The 20,118-nt window shown below is 53.5% G+C and overlaps 2 long non-coding RNA genes across 4 annotated transcripts, besides 1 other annotated feature; one reads left to right on the top strand and one right to left on the bottom strand.

Moving 5' to 3' along the window:
- Positions 1–2,511: 2,511 nt before the first annotated feature.
- LOC107986397 (uncharacterized) lies at positions 2,512–10,057 on the bottom strand. Its single transcript, XR_007059102.1, has 2 exons — positions 9,966–10,057; positions 2,512–8,120 (listed from the first exon to the last, which is right to left on the bottom strand). It is a non-coding gene; the product is annotated as an uncharacterized LOC107986397 (long non-coding RNA).
- Positions 8,078–8,578: an enhancer, noted in NCBI's record as "H3K4me1 hESC enhancer chr5:1550004-1550504 (GRCh37/hg19 assembly coordinates)". NCBI's record gives its function as "activates a minimal SCP1, AML or CMV promoter by ChIP-STARR-seq in primed H9 embryonic stem cells {active_cell/tissue: H9 hESC(primed)}" and the evidence as "EXISTENCE:reporter gene assay evidence [ECO:0000049][PMID:30033119]".
- A 10-nt stretch (positions 10,058–10,067) lies between the features above and the next one.
- Positions 10,068–16,361, top strand: LOC124901161 (uncharacterized). 3 transcript variants are annotated; one of them, XR_007059099.1, is made up of 4 exons: positions 10,068–10,158; positions 11,502–11,708; positions 14,251–14,374; positions 16,170–16,361. It is a non-coding gene; the product is annotated as an uncharacterized LOC124901161 (long non-coding RNA). The 3 variants fall into 3 exon arrangements; XR_007059100.1 differs by lacking the exon at positions 16,170–16,361 and adding an exon at positions 15,373–15,755; XR_007059101.1 differs by lacking the exon at positions 16,170–16,361 and adding an exon at positions 15,362–15,755.
- The last annotated feature ends 3,757 nt before the right edge of the window (positions 16,362–20,118 follow it).

The raw sequence follows: 20,118 nt of genomic DNA, 5'->3' as shown, positions 1-20,118 counted from the left end.
CGGTTTACTGACTATGTTAAGCCCACTGTTGAGAACTACCGCTCAGAAAAAAAGATTCCTTTCAAAATATTACTGCTCACCGACAATGCACCTGGTCACCCAAGAGCTCTGATAGAAATGAACAAGGAGATGAATCTTGTTTCCATGCCTGCTAACTCAACACCCATTCCACAGCCCAAGGACTCATTTCAACTTTCAAGCCTTATTATTTAAGGAATACATTTTTTAAGGCTGTATCTGCCATAGTTAGTGATTCCTCTGATGGATTTGGGAAAAGTAAATTGTAAACCTTCTGGAAAGGATTCACTATTCTAGATGCCACTAAGAACATTCATGATTCATGGGAGGAGGTCAAAGTGTCAGCATGAACAGGCGTTTGGAAGAGGTTCATTCCAATCCTCATGGATGACTTTCAGGGATTCCAGCCTTCAGTGAAGGAAGTCACTGCAGATGTAATAGGAATAGATGTGAGACCAATTACTGCTAAAATGCCTGGGATATGCTCCTTTCGTCTTAGAAAGTGGCTTGTTCTTGGATGTAGCAATGCACACACTTTGAGACACATTTTCCCATGGCAGCTGGCATTTATTACGCCGATCAGGAGCCATGCTTCAGGCACCAGTGCAGCAACAAGGCAGCGTGCTGGCCAAGCCAACTCCCTCCCACAGCACGGGGCCACTGGCTTCTGTGCCCTTACACTCAGACATGACCACATGACTGCTCCTGCTTGGGAGGATAGGGGGCAAGGATGCCACGCTCCCCGGCGCTCTCTCCCACCCCACCACGCCCCCACTTGTCCACTGAGCCCCCAGCTCTCTCATCCACAGCTGGACGCAGGGACCCAGCCAGACGCTCCAAGAGGTCCCTAGAGGAAGGCAGCATCTCAAGGCAGAGTCAGGCCCTGGGGAGAAACACGCTTTTACCATCCAGGGCCATGGAGCTCCCGGCTGTGAGTGAAACAGCACCTGGCCCTGGTGCACGCACGTGGGGCACGCAGAAACCCACACACAGGGAATTCACCGAATTCTCACCCACGCGGTGGGCTGGGCCCTGCTCACCCCAGGTAAAAAACACATGACCTGAGCTGACAGGGGAGTGTAGTGTGGGCTCCACCTGAGGAGGAGGCGCAAAGGTTTCAGCAATTCAGAGAGGTGGGTGTGCCTGGAAATGCACTGGGAACAACCTCACCCCGAATCAGAGGAACTTCCCCGTTACCAGCCTGGGCCACAGCTCCACACCCGGGCCCTCTGCCGTTTGCCAACTGTAAGTGGCCTCTGCCCACCTGAGCAGTTCATGAGAAACAGGAAAACCATTTCCAGAAACCAGTTTAGAGTCAAACAGTTACCTGAGTTCAGCATTTCAAGAAGTTGGCCCTTCTATGTCACACATTATTATTTTGTATTTATTTATGAAAGCAATGCGTGCTAACCCTACAAAACTGGAAGAGGCATTGAGGGAAAGGAAGAAACTGAAGACCATGGCCACAGGCCTTCCGGGACTTTCCTGCGTGTTCGTGTCTACTCAGGGCTGACGTCGCACAGTTCTGCATCCTTCATTGTCACGTGGTATTTTCTTAAGACAATTCCATGTCATAAAAGTGCATAATTTAAAGCGCTAAATTGTATCATATCGATTCTTCTTCCATTTATTCCGATGCCCCCCCCACGCCCCCCCCCCACCCCGTGGACCTGTTCTCGTGCTGCCAGGGCCTTCACAGCACCGTTCCCTCTGCCGCCGCCGCCATGCGAAGCCCTCCTCACCCTGTAGCCCCACCAGGAGGGAAGCTCCGTCCCTCAGCAGCCAGCACTCCCATGGGGATTCCTGCAGGAGAAACCTGAGGGTAAGGGGCGAGGCGAGCAGGATAGGGCAGGACCAGGCGTCAGGAGGGGGTCCCTGTCAGCCAGTGACCCGCACCCCACTGCTGGCCCTGGGGAGGCCAGGGTGGCCATGGCACCCGCCACTGTCAGTCATTGGCTCTGGGCCACCCACAGTCTGTGCTCGTGACCTCCCAGGCATCTCCCAAAGAGGTACACAGCCTCCTCAACTCGGCAAAGGGGTACAGGCCCAGACAGGGCATCTGGGAGGCACGGCAGCACCTCCACAAGCCCTGTGGACAACGGTGGGCCCCATCTGGCACCGCCCACTCTGCACATGGCACTCAGGAGGCGCTCGGGGCACCTGTGTTCATGGAGCACAGAGCAAAATGGCACTTGCGCGCACGTGGGATTCATGCCCCAGCCCGCTGTCCTCAGCCAATGGGCAGCAAGCTGGAGATACACTCCTTCCTGGAGGCCTCGGGCCAGGGGCTCTGTCGCCAGGCTCTAGATCAGCACTGACCCCTTCCTGGATCATGACCCGGACATGGGGTGGACCTAGGGCCTCGGCTGGGGTTGGAGAGATGATAAGGGAGGCTGTGGCCTGCAAGGTGAGGCCCGCAGGGCTCAGCATTGATCTGGCCTCCCCTCAGATTGCTCCAGTGGCCTCTCTCAGCCTCAAGCTTCTCATCAGTAAAATGGTGCAGAAAACAGGGCTTCATGTCCTGGAGGGTGTGAATTCACCAGGGCCCTAAATCACCCAGACCCCTACTGTGTCCTTGCAGGGACATGGCACTCCTGCGTTTGCTTCATTCCATTAAAGAGAAAAAACACAGACACAGCCACTGGTTGTAGAGCTCGTGGTAAACAACCCACCGCCGGCGCCCCGCTCCACAGCCACCCCACAGCTGCCGTTCTGACGCGCGGCCGCCACTGTGCAGCTCTTTCTGCTGGACGTGGCATCTTCGCCTCCTCCGACATCTAAGAATCCTGGGCCAGCCCTGTGGTTCACCACAAGGAATGCCGTACATTGGGCAACTATGAGCCAGGAAACCACACTCAGAGGAGCTGGACACGGGACATCAAGGGCACTGCTGGCAGTTGAATGGTGTTTGCAGAGGGAGGCAGGGAGACGAGGGCAACCTTGACCCAAGCTCTTGCTCGGATAAACACTTAAGCAACGTTGTCAGGAAGGAATCCATGACTCGATGGTTCAGCAAATATTAGCTCAGCAGGTGGCATTCAGCTGCTGGGGGCAGAGACAGCATTGCATGCAGACACGGCTCCACTCAAGTTGGCCCGCCCTCGTGTGTGAGGAGGGCGCCCGGCCAGCCAGCACCCACCCTGGAGGCTCCCTTGGCAGGTGCAGTCCACCTGGCCCAGCTGCAGACAAGACCCGTGGCTTGGAGGTTCTGGGTGTGTCTCTGTCTCTGTGGGCTGAGGGACATCGTGGAGCCCATCCTCAGCCCCATGGGAGCCTGAGACACTCCCTCCTCACTGCTCACACCAGACCAGGTTCAGAAAGAGACATGAGGCACTGTGCGTTTTGCAGAGTCCACAGGATGAACACAAGGGTTTGGATCCCAGACGTGCCAAATGCCTAAAGGGTGCACTCATTAAAAAACAAAGCTTTGAAGCTGAGGATCATTTCTGCAATGTGGAATAATCCTTGTTTTTAGAAAAGTCAGTTTTCAATTCAATCTGTCTCATAATTGAAAATCTTTATGTAGTGAAGTATCTTGAAGTAAAACAAGCTGCTAACAAGCCACCATCACAACTTAATGAGCGCAGCACAGGGGCACTTCCCGGCACGCGCCTGCCCTCGGCCACACGGCTGGTTTCCACCAGGCTCCCCACATGTTGCCTTCAGGCTGAGCCTCGGAGGCACCCATGTTGGCCGTAGCCTTGTAGAACAGTTAAAATTCATAAATGCACTGGAGTTTTGGGGGACCAAGCCGCTCACCTTGCAGAGAAGGAAGATGAGGTGCTGAACACCCAATGCCTTGATCAAGGACATGCAGTGGCCCCAAACCAGGACCTGTCCCTTGCCCTCGGCTGCCCTGTGCCCTGGTCAGGTGTGGTCAGGCCTGTGGAGTTTCTGTTTGGTAAAGACCTTGCATCAGGCATGTCACCTCCAAGATGTCCCTCCCTTTTACCCTGCCTCTCATTACCAAGCTCAGACACAACTTTACCTGCTTCCAGACACCCAATTAAAACCCATCCACACGTAAAACCTCTTGGGCCATGAGGAGCAGGGTTACACCTGGGGGCACTGGATGTGGGGCATGGCTCTTCCTGTGCCCTGGGCCCCAGGTGCCCCCACAAAGCCCTTGGCTGCCCTTGGGTCCACCCCTCCTCACCCCCAGCACAGCAGTTTCCGGCACTGAGACTTGCGCTCTCACCTGCTGAGACTTTCGGAGCGTTCGTTTGAGCAGCACCTGTGGCCAGTAAGATCCTCGCGTTGAAAGGCCTCCCAGCCTCTGGAGGCCTCCTGGGAGCCGCTGTCCTCATAGGATGTGTCCCCCAGGGGGAAAGGCTCCCCACCCTGCCAGTTCCTCCACCAGCGGGACCAGCAGCACCCATCTGGTCCTCAGCCCGCTGGGCTTCAGATCCCTGCCAGCCCACAGGATTCTCCCAACACCCTGCCCCAAGCCCCACAGAGCCAGGGTCCCCTCACCCTGTGGGCGGCCACTGCAAAGCCATGCAGCCCCTGAGAGCCCACCCTGTCCCCGAGTGGAGTGGGCCGCCTTCCACCCGCACATCAGCACCTGTGACCGTGGCCTGCTGTCACTCTCAGCTGTCCAGGGTTGGGTGCTGGGCACTCAGGCATCTGGTGCCATTGAGGGCAGCGGGTCCCCCTCACCAATAGGGTAGAGAGGAAGGAGGTGATCAGAATAGCCCCTGTGGCTCAGCAGGCCCAGCTTGCAGGCCCACCAGAGCCTTGCAGGACCCCACTTCCCCCATCAATGGGCTGCAGAGGAAACTGCAGGGCTGGGCTTTTCTATCAGAGGACCATCCGGACATCTCAGATTACAGAGCCACAAAGACGGGGAGCTGGCGGGGCAACTCCCCAAAATCCAAAGGAGTGGGGGGCTCTAAGTCACGGCGGCTCTAAGTGGTGAGGGCTCTAGTGGTGGGAGCTCTAAGACTTGGGGTCTCCAAGTCGTGGGGGCTCTAAGTAGTGGGGGCTCTAGTGGTGGGGGCTCTAAGCCGTGGGGTCTCCAAGTCGTGGGGGCTCTAGTGGTGGGGGCTGTAAGTCGTGGGGGTCCTCAGGACCCTCTTTGGCAGAGGAGAGCCCACCTGGGCTAATGCTCACTGTCTGGAAACTAAAGACCAGCTCCGTGCACTTTAGGACGTGAAGAAAAGGCAGAGTGAAGGAGGCTCCTGAGCGTCCTGTAAACTCTTGGAAGTTCCTCCGGGTTCGGGGCGCCTCTTTCCCAAGCCAAGCCCAGCAGTGCTGTCTGCTCCCCCCACCCCTGGGCTGACCTAATGAAAGCCCGCTCTCTCCAGGCGCCCATCTGTGAGTCCGTCGCGGCAGGCCTCGGCGGGGCCCTCTCTGCTCAGAGCTCTTCTGGGTGGAACAGAGGCTTTTTGTTGCACGGGATTTCCAGGGCTGTGCTGGCTTCATGCACCGAGGGGCCTGCTCTATAGGCCACGGCCGCCGGGCCAGCGTCCAGCGGGAACACAAGGGAGCTGTGTGTCGCTGGGTCAGCATCGTGGCCCAGCCCGGCGGGAAAGTGGGGTGGCTGCTACTAAGGCTCTGGCTTGTTTGAATGAGGTTGCTTTTCCCAGAGTAGCTGAAGTGTCAGTCCACGCCGAGAGCTGGTTGCCTGCCAGCATCGTTGCCTTTAGATTTAAAATGAAAATATGACAGAGCCAGAAGCTGGGTAAACTGTTTTCCAACCCTCTCCTTTCACAAAGCCAAATGGAATAATTGAGATCAAATCCAACTCTTCAAAAATGCATTTGCCTGACAACTCTCCATGCCAAGTGTCGGCCTGAAATAATCCCTTCGCTGACGCTCTAAGCCCGGAGAAAGGCTGCCTGTCACAGGGGTGCTGACGCCGCCAGACACAACCGCGCCAATGAACTGAATCCTCACTCTGAAAGCGAAAGGGTTGGCTGCAAACTGAAGCTAAAACCAGATGCCCATCAATGCTGTTAGCAGTAAAATGACTGATGATTAGGCAAATGGTTTTACTTTGAAATGTAAAATGAATTGAAAAAAGCAATATTACAATAAAAATATAAAACCATAATTTGTCAAATAAAACAAAACTAAATGGGTAAAACTTAAAGTCATAATTGAACACTTGTGAAGTATCGTAGCATCTCACCCCTCTCAGTCCCTCTCCCGAGTCCCACCCAGCCTGGCGTGTGAGACCCTGAGGGTCCACCAGGTCACCCAGTTCCCTTTCTGTGCACCATGTCCCCAGGCTCAGCCACACAGGGTTTATCTGCTATTGCTCCTTCTTTCCAAGTGGTGTTTTCTCTGCCGTCTCTACTCCGTCTCTTACGAAGATCCAGAGCCCCCACTGAAAAGCGCTGCCTTCAAAGTCCCCCAGAACCCGTGTCTCTCCTCTCCGGTTGCACAACACAGTTACTGCAGGGCCTCTGAAGTGACCCCCATCCCACTGTCGGGCTTGGGCTGCGCGGTGATGCTGCCAACAGGAGCAGGTGCGGGCAGTCGTGGTCACGCATCCGGCTCGACTGAGTGTTCCGTATACTACTGTACAAAACTCTTATCACTCCTTCCACTTCATTTATCACTTTCCTTGCAGATGGGCATTTTCAGTTTCTCACAATTCCAAAACAAAAATTCTTCTCGAGTGTCAGTCCCTCCAGGGCATATTCCTGCAAGTGTTGTTCCTGAATCTCAGCCTCGCAGCTTCCCTCGCTGAAGATTTGCAAATTGCCTTCCTGAGTAGAGCCTCCAGTCTCTGTATTCAGTGTGACTGCCCAGCAGTCACGGGCTCTAGGCCTGGTCAGACCTGCTCCCTTCCTCAGTCGAGGGGAGAGAGGTGCATCCATCCCCAGCGGGGCACCCGCTGCAGCTCCGGTACCCCAGCCAGCTCCAGGCCGGGTGCCCATTGCAGCTTCGGTACCCCAGCCAGCTCCAGCACGGCAGGTGCCCTGTCTCCGTGGCCCGGTAGGTCTCCTCTCAGCGAGTCTCCTGTTCATGAGCTGTGCCTGTTTTTTGGTGTTTTGCTTTCCTACAGCTACGAGGAACTTCTTCAGTCTGTGGATGCCAATCCTTTTCCAATTTTATTCACTGTAACTACTATTTGGCCAGTTCACAGCTTTTATTTTCCATTGGTTTATGGTGACTTTAACAATGTTGCCTTGTTTCAATTTGCCAATGTTTTTCTCTATGCTTTTAGTTATTAAGAAATCCTTTTCTATCTCAGGCATTAAGAAAATCTCCTAGTTTTTAACTTTAAGATTACACTTTTTACATTTAGTCACTCCTTCTTTTGGGTTTTTATGAACTATGGAATATCAAATATGTATAACATAAAATTTGCCATTTTAGCTGTCTTTGAGTTACCCGTCAGTGGCATTCACGATGTTGTGCAACCATCACCGTTTCTATTTCCAAAGCTCCTTATCACCTGAACAGACTCATTCACTTTCTAACCCGATATTCAGTGGCACTGGCTGAGCATCTCCTAATGGCCGGGCCTTGCCCTCAGGGGGATTGCTGTCTAGCAGGGGAGGCAGACAGACAGGCACAGTGGGCACAGCAAACAAGTGAATGAGAGGGCCTGGGGCTGGGCAAGGGCAGCCTGGATGGCTTTGCAGAGGGAACCTTTGTTCCCCAGGGCAGTGACTGTGCTGCGTGTCCACCCCCAGCTGTGCTCCTCAGCCCCAGTTCTCATGATGTTTGTTCTCCTGGGTGTAGCGATGAGACTCCCGTTCCAGATGGTAAGGAAGAGGCACAAGACGGGGCCGTTGTGCAGACTTCTAAAGAAAGAACTCATGTTATTAAAACTGAGCTCATTGCCTCCACTGACATTTGCGGAGGGATGACCATGCCAGGTACCCACTGAGCCCTCGTCCCTGCCTGCACAGGGCCCATTTCTAGTGCGGACGGAAACAGCCTGATCCCAGGGAAAAGGCAGGGAGCCTACAGGGTGGGGTGGAGGCAGAGCTGGTCTTAGCAAGGACAGCGGGAGTCCACGAGCCTTGAGAACCTTCTGTAGGAGGGGCAGCCCGGGCAAAGGCCCTGGGGCAGGAGCAGAGCAGAGGTCAGAGGTCAAAGCTCCTCTTCAGGAACCGTCATTTTCTGTGTAGCTGCGTTCTCACCTGGGAAGAGGCACACTCAGGTTAAATGCAAGCCCAAGGCCATCTTGAGCCCAAGGGGACAGGATGACTGTTGCCGTAGGTAGGGGTGGAGGACGTGGGACAAAAAGGACAGGGTGCTGGTCACACTCCTGACAGCACTCAGGCCCAGGGGCAGAGGGAGAAAGCCACCCACATGCTCAGTGCCACACGCTGGGCAGGGGCTTCTGACATTCCCATGACCCCACGAAGCAGCTCTTATGCCCCATTTTCCAAATGAGAACACCAAGGACCCACAAAGTCAGCAGCCGGCCTATGGCCACGTGGCTGGAGAGCAGAGGTGCTGGCCTCAGGAAGGCAAGCCCACGGGTCCATGGCTGAGGCCGGCAGGCTCCATCAGCGCCCTGCCCTGCTGCCCTCAAAAACTGTCTCCTCCTGCCTCTGCAGAACACGCCCAGGGCTGTCACCCTTGAAAGCTGTGGGGACTCTAGGAGAAGGTGGCGGCTCCCTGTGATCCGCTCCCACTCTGGTCCACATTTCACAGGGCCTGGGCCTCAGATGACTTCAGGGGTTTTCTTTAAGAAAAATGGTACACAATCACAAATGCTAAATCGATATGAAATGGAAATGAGGAGAGATGGCGGCCGATGGCAGGTGCTTCAAAGCTACATCACCCGGGAGGAAGACTCTGCCTGCAGCTGTCACTGACCTGCCGAGACCTGGCACATCCCACGGCAGCCTGCGTTGGGGCTGAAAACATGTTACGTGCAGTGCAGCTTGAGAGGTGGACCAAAAGGAGAAATGGCCATTGCAAGGATGTTAAGAGTAAAAGTTTGCAAGTCTTCTGCTCACAGATTTTACCGAGTTCCTATCGTAAGGCAGGATTCAGTTCTAAGGAAGGAAGTTATTTCCGGATTCGTCTTCTGAAGAACGCCGGCCCCTCAGCATTAAAGTTGCCGTGTCTCTTTACACTTGGACTTTAAACAAATTAGATGACTCTTTGTTCCAACGGGCAGGCTGTCCGCTTGCGGGCTGCACCGGCCCACCTGTGCAGACAGCCCAACCGTCACTGGCCCACCCGTGCAGGCAGCCCCACCCGGCGTCCTCTCCCCACTGAGCCTGGCCCTGAAAAAGGACCCCTCGGACAGCAGGACAGGCCAGTCCCAGACATGTAAGCTTGCTCAGCAACCTTCTGGGGTGGACCTGTCCCATTTGCAAATGTGGGTTCCTGCACAAGGAGTCCCATTTTCAGATATTTCTCCTTTCTGCCTGCTCAAGGCAACCGTGGCTGCGGAAGACTCCAGGGCAGGATGGTCAGCAGCCTCCCTGCACGCTCAGCTGCTCCTGCTTTAGAAGAACCAGCCCCTCATCAGGATCCCGCCCGTTGGGAAGCCTGCACGGATTCTTCTGTATGCCCATGACACGGGCAGGGTCCGTGCTATAGAGCCCCTCCGCAGTTCTCCAGGGAGACACCTGTAGCCTGCAGTGAGGAGGGCTCTTGAGTGTCATCGCCTGAGGGCACTTTCTGAGAAACAGCGACAATGTAGAAAAACAGGCAACATTGTGCAACGTTTATCAGCCCCTCCGATCACACCTTTATCAACCCCTCCGATCGCGCTGTTTATCTGCCCCTCCGATTGCACCGTTTGGCCATGTGCATCGCTTTCCCACCGTTCTTCTTAAAAAAGGAAAAGAGAACATTTCCGTAGATCTTCTTGCCTGTTACAGATTGATTTGTTGTTGGCTGGTTTTATACATACACGCCTGGGTCCCTGGGGTCTCCGTTAGAGGATCCTGTGCCCCCAACCACCCCAGCTTATTTCCTAGGGTTACAGGTCAGTAAGGTAGTTGGGCCGTTTACCTACTCACTTTTTTCATGAATCTCTTTTGACAGCTACCAAAGAAGAGACAACATCCAGCAGCAGCCACTCCCGCAGGACTCCAGGGAACAAGGATGGAATGAGAATTGAGAAGCAGAGCTGAGCTGTGACTCAAGCACCGGGCTGGCTGCCACACAGCATCCCTGTGACACTCAGATGCCAGCTAACGTGTTCTAATAAAAGTAAGCATCGCTGGCCGGGTGCGGTGGCTCATGCCTGTAATCCCAGCACTTTGGGAGGCTGAGGTGGGTGGGTCACCTGAGGTCAGGAGTTCGAGACCAGCCTGACCAACATGGAGAAACCCCATCTCTACTAAAAATACAAAATTAGATGAGTGTTGTGGCATGCGCCTGTAATCCCAGCTACTAGGGAGGCTGAGGCAGGAGAATCGCTTGAACCCGGGAGGTGGAGGTTGCGGTGAGCTGAGATCGCCCCATTGCACTCCAGCCTGGGCAACAAGAGCGAAAGTCCATCTCAAAAAAAAAAAAAAAAAAGTAAGCATCACCTTGAAAGACATGATACCAACTGCTGAAACATTCTCTGAGTTCATGGTTAATAAGAAAAAGACAGCAGAACACCAGCGCACTTGGTTTCTGGAGAGCACCACTGTCAGGAGGCCGTGTTGACAAGGATGCTGGAGGAGTTCAGCCGCAAGCACCAAGCAGACTCCTGGATGAGAAGAAGCCACAGCTTCAAACCTGATGGGTGGTGAAGAGTACATTCCCTTTGCTGGCACAGTGAGGGAGAAAGACCAGAATTTTGTGTTTAGGTTAGAGGAGACCCACACTTAGGGAGCTAACGATGGCAGTGACTGTTGACTAAGAGCGTTCTACCACGATGCTCTTCCAATAGCCCTGAAGACAGGTCTTCTTATTCACCCCTTTCTATAGAGGAGACGCCAAGGCTTAGAAATGGAAATCCCTTTCCAAAGTTATCACAGTGGTAAAAATAGTACGGGGGTTTGAACCCAGGCCTTTCTAGCTGCAGAGTCCTGGTGCCTGCCCCACACCCTACGGTGTCACTGTCTCCCCAGAGACCCTGAAGGGCAAGGGTAGCCGCAGAGCAGAGTGGACAGCCTCCGGTTCTAGGGCCCGATGTGTGCACATTGATACATTAAAGTCCTGTCAGTGCGCAGATGTGCGAGGGATGTATGTCCGGAGAAACACATGTGCGCTCTGAGCAGTAACAAACCCAGACTGTCAAAATGAAGAACTGAGGACACATCGTTGCTGGGTCCATCTAATTCTGAATCAACTGTGAATATAGAAGAAATAATTTGCTCAAAGAGAAGGTGTTGACTTGTCCAAGACGCAACATGCTGTCTCTTCCTCTAGAAATCAGAAATATTCAAACCCAGAGTTCTACTGAAATACCCTAAATTGGCAGTGCTTTTTTGTGGTAATTTAATCAGTAGCTGAAGCTGAAATTCCCAGCTTTTCACAAAACGCAGTTTGCAATCTAAGATCCAACACTGTAAAAAGTGTGGCTGGTTCTTCACCCCCATAAAATAATCAATGTTTTCCAGCTAACCAGTCACATCGGTCAAACCCTACCTTGATCCGGTGATGGGCCCCTGCCCACCCCAAAATTTCCCGCGTGTTCATGAAAGACGACTAACTCCAGAACGGAACATGACGCACGTGCCGAGACATCAGCATTGAGTAAGCACCCGCTGTGGGCCAGGCCCGGTCTCAGGACAGCTGCGCGCCCTCCAGACTCCACGGTCCTACAGGTAAGTTCCACCTCGCCCCTGCTTTGCAGAGGATGGAAGGTGAGGCAGAAAAGCCGAGTCACTTCCCAAGATCACAGGGCAGAGCCCAGAGCCCTGTCACTCCCTGTGTCACTGCCTTCCTGGGTCACGACGAGTAACTTCCTGAACACAAGGGCCTGACTTGCTGCATTTGTCCCAGCTTAGGGATCATGTTGGCTGCAAATGGGTGTCTAAGACAACCCTTTAAATGTGAACATGGAGAAAAGGAGAATTGCTAAACACATTGCTGGAAAACATCGCCCATATAAACGTCTGTCTAAAAGAGCAACTTAGCCAGAGCAAAATCGTCTGCTAAATCAAAGGCGACTGGCACAACTAAATGGTGTAGAAGCAAATATTTCATTTTCAGCTTAAAGAATATCACTGCAAAAAATATGTTCATTCTGGGTTATCAATGCGTTTTCTAAATGAAGATGACTCTGAAAACATACTGATAAAGTTAAATACATGCCGTTTCAATCCCAACTGACACAAACACTCCAAGGAGTCAAGGACTGCAAACCAATTATGTTTGCAAAATCCTGGCTCAAATGTCCTCCCTCAAACACAAATGTTAATGTCTTACTCAGTATACTAAGAAATATGTCCTCTCTGTTGAGTCTTTAAAATCAAGTGGCTTATGAAATAAACCTCCCATCCAATAAGAGCTCTTGGCCTCATCAACTCATATTGAAAATATGCACAAGGGTTCTGTTCTGACAATCATCTCACTGTCGAAGGGTCAAATCAGGTGATTCTCAGCGTCTGTTACCAGAGACCAGGTGCTTCCACTCAAGATGACTTCCCGGTTTGCTCAAGCAAGAACCACTTAATGAGCAAATGAGCAAACCCTCTGGGCTGCTCCAGCTTAGGTGAGAGTGCACATGTGGGGTGACATAGCTGTGTGCAGAGGAACAGGTGTGCGTGCAGGTGTGAGTGCAGGTGCAGGTGTGTGTATAGATGCAGGTGTGTGTAGGTATGTGTGCAGGTGTGTGCAGAGGTACAGGTGTGCGTGCAGGTGTGAGTGCAGGTGTGGGTGTGTGTACACAGGGGAAAGTGTATAGATGCAGGTGTGTGTGTAGGTATGTGTGCAGGTGTGTGCAGAGGTACAGATGTGCATGCAGGTGGTGTGCAGAGGTACAGGTGTGCATGCAGGTGTGAGTGCAGGTGCAGGTGTGTGTACACACGGGAAAGTGTGTATAGATGCAGGTGTGTGTAGGTATGTGTGCAGGTGTGTGCACAGGTACAGGTGTGTGTGCAGGTGTGAGTGCACAGGGGCAAGTATGTATATAGCTCTAGGTGTGTGTGCACAGGGACGTGTATGTATAGGTGCAGGTGTGTGCAGGTGTGTGCAGAAGTTTGTGTGCAGATGTGTGTGCAAGTGCAGTTGTGTGCTCACTGGGGCAAATTTGTATATAGGTGCAGGTGCATGTAGGTGCATGTGCAGGTGTGTGTGCCAATGCAGGTGTGTGTTCACAGGGCCAAGCATGTGTAGAGGTTCACATGTGTGTGCAGGTGTGTTTGGAGGTGTGTGTGCAGATGCAGGTATGTGCACACAGGGACAAGTGTGTGTATAGGTGCCCGTGTGTGCAGGTGTGTGTGCAGGTGCAGGTGTGTGTTCACAGGGCCAAGTGTGTGTAGAGGTGCAGGTGTGTTTGGAGGTGTGTGTGCAGGTGCAGGTATGTGCACACAGGGACAAGTGTGTGTATAGGTGCAGGTGTGTGCGCAGGTGCAGGTGTGTGTTCACAGGCCAAGTGTGTAGAGGTGCAGGTGTGTTTGGAGGTGTGTGTGCAGGTGTAGGTATGTGCACACAGGGACAAGTGTGTGTATAGGTGCCCGTGTGTGCAGGTGTGTGTGCAGGTGCAGGCCGCACGCAGGAACACTCATGGTTCCACTGGCAACTCATCCACAGTGGCTGCGCCCGCTTACTTCCAGGCATGAGTGGGGAATGCATCACCATCCAACTGAGTGAGAGGCCCTTCTGAGGAGCCAATGCCTGCTCACAGAGAAGGGGGGAGATAGAAGGGGACAGGGAAGGAGGGAAGGAGGGAGAGGGCACCTTCTCACGCATTCAAGCCTCTTCCACGTGGTCCGACTTGGTACACATCCGGCCTGGCCCTGGCCCTGGGGTCTTACAAGACAGGCCTCGGCCAGAGCTGATGATGGGTTTCCCTCCTCCCTCCCTGCTTTTCTCCTGGCCTCTTCCCCCATCCTTCTCAAATGTCCCCTCCTCGAAGATGTCCTGGGACTCCCAGGCAGGAAGGAGCTGCTTCTCCACAAGAGAAGAGGGGAGATAGAAGGGGACAGGCTTCTCCCTGAAGCCTCTGGGCCCACCTATAGCAATGTGAGTCCCAGGCTGCCGCCAGGGCCAGAGCCCTCTGCACCCTGGTTCCTGCCCTGGCATCTATTTAGGACAGTAAAAGGGCTACTTAGATACTAATGAGAGTGAGGATTTATTAAATGAAATCTTTCTACAATAATTTTTTTAATTCTCCAAATGAGTCTCTTTTCTTTCTTTTCTCAGACAATGAATATTATGCAACCAAAATGTCCTGGGAATTCAGAGCCAAAGGCAGCATTCTTAGGAAATGCCTCCCACTCTCCTGCCATGGCATAGAGCTCTGCTGGGCTCTGGACCTGCAGAGAAGGTGAATAAGGTTCTGGGGGTGTCGGATGCCAAGGGGTGACCTGAGGAGGAGATGGGCTTTGGAGTGTGAGGCAGCACCCACGGTCAGCAGACAGCTAGGCACGGGGGCTCAGTGAGGAGGAAGGGCTGAGGCGAGGGTGGGGAGATGGGGCTGGGAGGGCTGGAGTCTTTGGGCACCCCCGAGAGAGCTACAGCTCAGCAGCGTGCAGGAAGGGAGGGCAAAGGGAAGGGAGGGCAAAGGGCCAGGTCAAAATGTCCAGTAGAAAGTGGGATGAGGAACAAAGTTGAGGTTGAGAGGGAGCAGCAAATAAAAGTACTCAGAGGGATTCGAAAGGGTTTTCTAAATCTACTTCAATATGCAAAGATAGATGTCATGGGCCTTGGTTTTGCTTTTCCAGTCCAAGTGTCTCCAGGAGCCTGCAGGTCCATTAGAATCAGCTGTACCTCCAAGTAGCAGAAATGTCCAAAACAATAATCACCTAAATGAGATAGAACTTCATTCCCCCTCCCATTCACTCCCCCCTCCCATTCACTCCCCCCTCCCATTCATTCCCCCTCCCATTCATTCCCGCCTCCCATTCATTCCCCCATCCCATTCATTTCCCCCCATTCATTCCCTGCTCCCATTCATTCCCCCCTCCCATTCATTCTCCCCTCCCATTCATTCCCCTTCCCATTCATTCCCCCTCCCATTCATTCCCCCTCCCATTCATTCCCCCTCCCATTCATTTCCCCCCCCATTCATTCCCCCCCATTCATTCCCCCCATTCATTCCCCCTCCCATTCATTTCCCCCTCCAATTCATTCCCCCCCATTCATTCCCCCCTCCCATTCACTCCCCACTCCTATTCATTCCCCCACCATTCATTCCTCCCTCCCATTCATAAGGCCAGAGGTAGCCAGTCCAGAACTGAGAGGGCCCTTCCAAAGGTCCAGGACCCAGACTCCTTCTCCCCAGTTGCTGCTGGCCTAATTTCCCTTCCTGAAGTTGTTTTATAGGCCAAGATGGATGCTGGAGCTCTAGCCAACACAGCTACCTTCCAGCCAACAGGAAGTTACTCAAGGGCACTTCCCAGAAGCTCCACAATCTTGGGATCATATCCAATGTGCTGCCAGGAATTAGTCACACGACCACACCTAGGCTGGGAATACAGTCTTCACCCTGGGTAGCCACACATCCAGCTAAAACATGCAGGTTGTATCATTAGGAAGGAGGTGAGGCTGGATGCCAGGAGAGGCCGTCAGACTCTGTGGGGCCTGGCCACTGACTCCTCCCCACAGCAAAGTTCCTCCTTTCGAAACTTGCCCTCCTCTCAACCAAAGGAGGTCTCTGTCTTTGCAACTCTGAGAAAAAAAAAAAATATATATATATATATATTTGAGACAGTCTTGCTCTGCTGCCCAGGCTGGAGTGCAATGGTGAGCTCTCGGCTCACTGCAACCTCTGCCTCCCAGGTTCAAGCGATTCTCCTGCCTCATTCTCCTTGAGTAGCTGGGATTACAGGTGTGTGCCACAATGCCTGGCTGATTTTTCCATTTTTAGTAGAGACGGGGGTTTCACCATGTTGGTCAGGCTGGTCTCGAACTCCTGACCTCGTGATCTGCCCGCCTCGGCCTCCCAAAGTTCTGGGATTACAGGCGTGAGCCACTGCGCCCAGCTGAGAAAAATTTTTTTATGCTGAATTCCTTACAAATGACATAAGCGATCATACAATTAGCCATGCTTATGTTTTAGAAAATATAAAATTATACATGATTTTAAAATAGGAGATACACCTTCCTCTTTCAATCAACAGATGCTGGGGCTTGTGGGAGGCCAGGAAAGGAAGAGGCCCTCGTCACAATGCTCCTGAGACGGTGAGGCAGGGGTTTCCCTTACACTCCCTGTTCCCAAGTATGTGAAGATAATTCCACGCAGCATTTTTCAAAGCCAACTGGAACGAGTTACTGTAAGCAGTCTTTCCATAAAAGATCACTCTTTGAGAATACTTGTTTTCATATTTGTGCTATTTTTGACATTTTAGGAAGCAAAATTACATGCAAACATTTGTTCTGCAAACCCAAAGTGTGAAGAAAGATGCATTCAAATACTAAAAAAAGCTGCGTGCCTCTAGATTTCAAAAATCTTTTTAGTTTTCACAAAGACCCACTGACGAGATCATTATTTCAGCTCATGCTTCCCACAGAGTATCATGTATTTAAAGTCAAAGAAAATGGGACAGACACAGCCGCTGAGGGAGATGCTGTGTTCATTACACAAGTTTTGTTTACATCACTTGGGACCCTGTGAGATGCATCTCCATGGAAGCGGTTTCAGCCTGCCAGCTCTGCTGCCAGAATTACTACCGTGGGCTTTGAAGGTTTATCACAATATAGTAAATGAAGTCAGAATTTCTAATAGGATATAAAAACAATGTTAAGTATCTAAATCCTTATTTGATGTCAAATGTACCGTAGTTGAGAAAAATGGTTTCTTCTGGGAACCAAGTGTTATGAACCAGAGCCTCCTTCTAGAAAGTCACCTGCAGAAATGGACGGTCACAGGGCACACTCCACCTGGGACGCTGGATGAGTGCCCAGAAGAAAGACCCCAAAGACTGGGAATGAGGTCACCACCTTCCTTCACTGGTCCTGGCTATGACCCGGGTCAGTCTCTTGTGCCTCAGTTTCCCTGTCTATAAAATGGTCTAACTCACTCACCGAGATGCCTTGGAAACTACTCTATACCAAGCAATGAAACCTTCTCTAAGATGCAGGCAGGATGCGTGGACTCACAAGAGCTGTGCACACAGCAGGGCCCAGGGCTTGTCTGCCAGACTTTTGGGTCAAGACTCAAAGAAGTGGCTGCAGGAACAGCAGGGGCAAGAGCCCACTGGCCAGAGCACAGCAGCCTGGGGGGCAGGGAGGACCCTCAGGAAGGGCAGGGATGAGGCAGAGGGGTCAGGAATGAGGGGCCACAGTGGCAGCCAGGCCCAGAGGCATCTCCCTGCTGGAGAGGTGGGTGCCACTGGTGGCCCCAGTCAAGGAAGCCCCATCCACCCACTTATGTCCGGAAGGATCCCCTGGCCACAGAGAAGAAAAACCAGGGCACAGCCAGGGCCAGCCAGGAAGCCAGAGATTCCCCAGGCAGGAGGTGCTGGCGTGGCGAGGAGGGAATGGGTCCCAGTCGTCTTTATGTTCCGAGCTTTGACTCTGGGGCTTTGCTGACCCTGGAGCCATCACCTCTCCCAGGCCTGGCCAGCACCTAGAGTCAGGAAGCTGCTTACCTGTGAGCACACCTTCCATATTAGTCTGTTCTCATGTGCTGAGAAAGACAGGCCCGAGCCTGGGTAATTTACACAGGAAAGAGGTTTAATGGTTTAAAGAGGTCCACGTGGCTGAGGAGGCCTCACACACGGTGGAAGGCGAACGAGGAGCAAAATCCTATCTTACATGGCGGCAGGCAAGAGAGTTTGTACAGGCGAACTCCCATTCATAAAACCATCAGATCTCGTGAGACTTATTCACTACCATGAGAACAGTATGGGGGAGGCTGTCCCCATGACTCAGTATCTCCACCTGGCCCCACCCTTGACATGTGGGGATTATTACAATTCAAGGTGGGATTTGGGTGGGGACACAGACAAACCACATCACTTTCCATGTGGAAACCAAACAGGCCAGGGTGCTCTTGCCTCCCGCTCTCCACCTGCCCTGCCCACCCCAGGGCCAGGTATTGGACAGCAGGGGGCAGCTTCTACATGTGCCCTGGAGCCCATGGAACCACAGACTAATCCAGTGAGCCAACCCTAAGCCTGCTTGCCCTGTCCAGCTGAAATGCCTCCTGACGGGTTCTTCCCACATGGCCCCGTGAAGCCCTGTGTGGCCCTGTGTGGCTCTGTGTGGCCCTGTGTGGCCCTGTGTGGCTCTGTGTGGCCCTGTGTGGCTCTGTGTGGCCCTGTGTGACCCTGTGTGGCTCTGTGTGGCCCTGTGTGGCTCTGTGTGACCCCGTGTGGCTCTGTGTGACCCTGTGTGGCCCCGTGTGGCTCTGTGTGGCCCTGTGTGGCCCTGTGTGGCCCTGTGTGACCCTGTGTGGCCCTGTGTGGCCCTGTGTGACCCTGTGTGGCTCTGTGTGACCCTGTGTGGCTCTGTGTGGCCCTGTGTGACCCTGTGTGGCTCTGTGTGGCCCTGTGTGGCCCCGTGTGGCTCTGTGTGGCTCTGTGTGACCCTGTGTGGCCCTGTGTGACCCTGTGTGGCTCTGTGTGACCCTGTGTGGCTCTGTGTGGCCCTGTGTGACCCTGTGTGGCCCTGTGTGGCCCTGTGTGGCTCTGTGTGGCCCTGTGTGGCCCTGTGTGGCTCTGTGTGACCCTGTGTGGCTCTGTGTGGCCTGTGTAACCCTGTGTGGCCCTGTGTGACCCCGTGTGGCCCTGTGTGACCCCATGTGTGACCCTGTGTGACCCTGTGTGGCCCTGTGTGACCCCGTGTGGCCCTGTGTGACCCTGTGTGACCCTGTGTGACCCTGTGTGGCCCCCTATGGCCCTGTGTGGCCCTGTGTAGCTTGTGTGGCCCTGTGTGGCCTGTGTGACTCTGTGACCCCGTGTGACCCTGTGTGACCCCGTGTGACCCCATGTGGCCCTGTGTGGCCTGTGTGGCCATGCGTGGTATGCTGTCCCTCCAGTCCCCCATCTTGGGCACTGTGGGGAAGAAACTCTCTTGTCAGTGGGCATCATCTCCTGACACATTGGCCTTGCCATACCTGAATAATAATAAAACCTACATTTTCAAACAAGGTTGGGCCATGAGGAAATGTAAATGGGAGTGAGGGTGAGAGGCAGAGGCAGGGCAGTCCGAGGGCACCCAGGTCTTGGCTTGAGCAGCCACAGCATGGGCTGCCCTCCCTGGGGTGGTCCCGGGAGCAGGGGATGTAGGCTTGGGAAGGATGATGGGAGTGCAGCCACGGATGCTGTAGATTTGAAATGCCTGTTAGACCCCACTATGTACTGAACTGTGCCCCGCTTACCGCCCCCCTCCCCCACCAATTCCTACGCTGAAATTCTTACCCCTAAGGTGATGCTATTAGAAGGCAGGGACTTTGGGAGGTGATTCGGTGCCTAATCCTTCATGAATAGGATGAGTGTCCTTATAACAGAGACCCAGAGAGCTCCCGCGCCCCTTTCACCACATGAGGACACAGGGAGAAGGCGCCGTATATAAACCAGGATACAGCCTCACCAGACAGCAAATCTACCATGCCTTGAGCTTGGACTTCCAGGCTCTAGAACTGTGAGCAAAAGCGTCTGTTGTTTAAGCCACAAGCCTATGGTGGCTTCTACTTCAGCAGCCTGAGCAGACTAAGACAGACCTCCAAGCGGAAGCATGAAATCACTGCCAGACGTGTGCATCTGAGCTCAGAAGGAGGTCAGACGCGGATGCAGGCGTCACCCATGGGCAAGCAGTGTGTAAGGCACAGGCGTGGTCCAGAGCACACAGGACGAGGGTGTGCAGAGAAGAGAGGGAAGGGGCGTGGAGGGAGCCACATTCAGAGCTGGATGAGGGGGAGCCATCAGCCAAGACAAGGAGGAGAGGCCAGAGCCCAGAGGGAGGGGGAGAGACCGCAGCAGCCTCTCCACCTGAAGTCCGAGGGAGAAAGGCTTTGGCGGCGAGGCCGGCTGTGTGGGCAACATGAGCGCTCAGGTGATGGTGGCGAGGGCCCTGGACCGCCATCAGAACTCCCCAGCGCCACGAGGAGGGAGCCTTAGCTCTGCC

The sequence above is a fragment of the Homo sapiens genome, chromosome 5, assembly GCF_000001405.40.
Source record: "Homo sapiens chromosome 5, GRCh38.p14 Primary Assembly".
NCBI lineage: Eukaryota > Metazoa > Chordata > Mammalia > Primates > Hominidae > Homo > Homo sapiens.
Note: the sequence above shows the minus strand (reverse complement) of the source record. Positions and strands in the feature narration are given on the sequence as shown.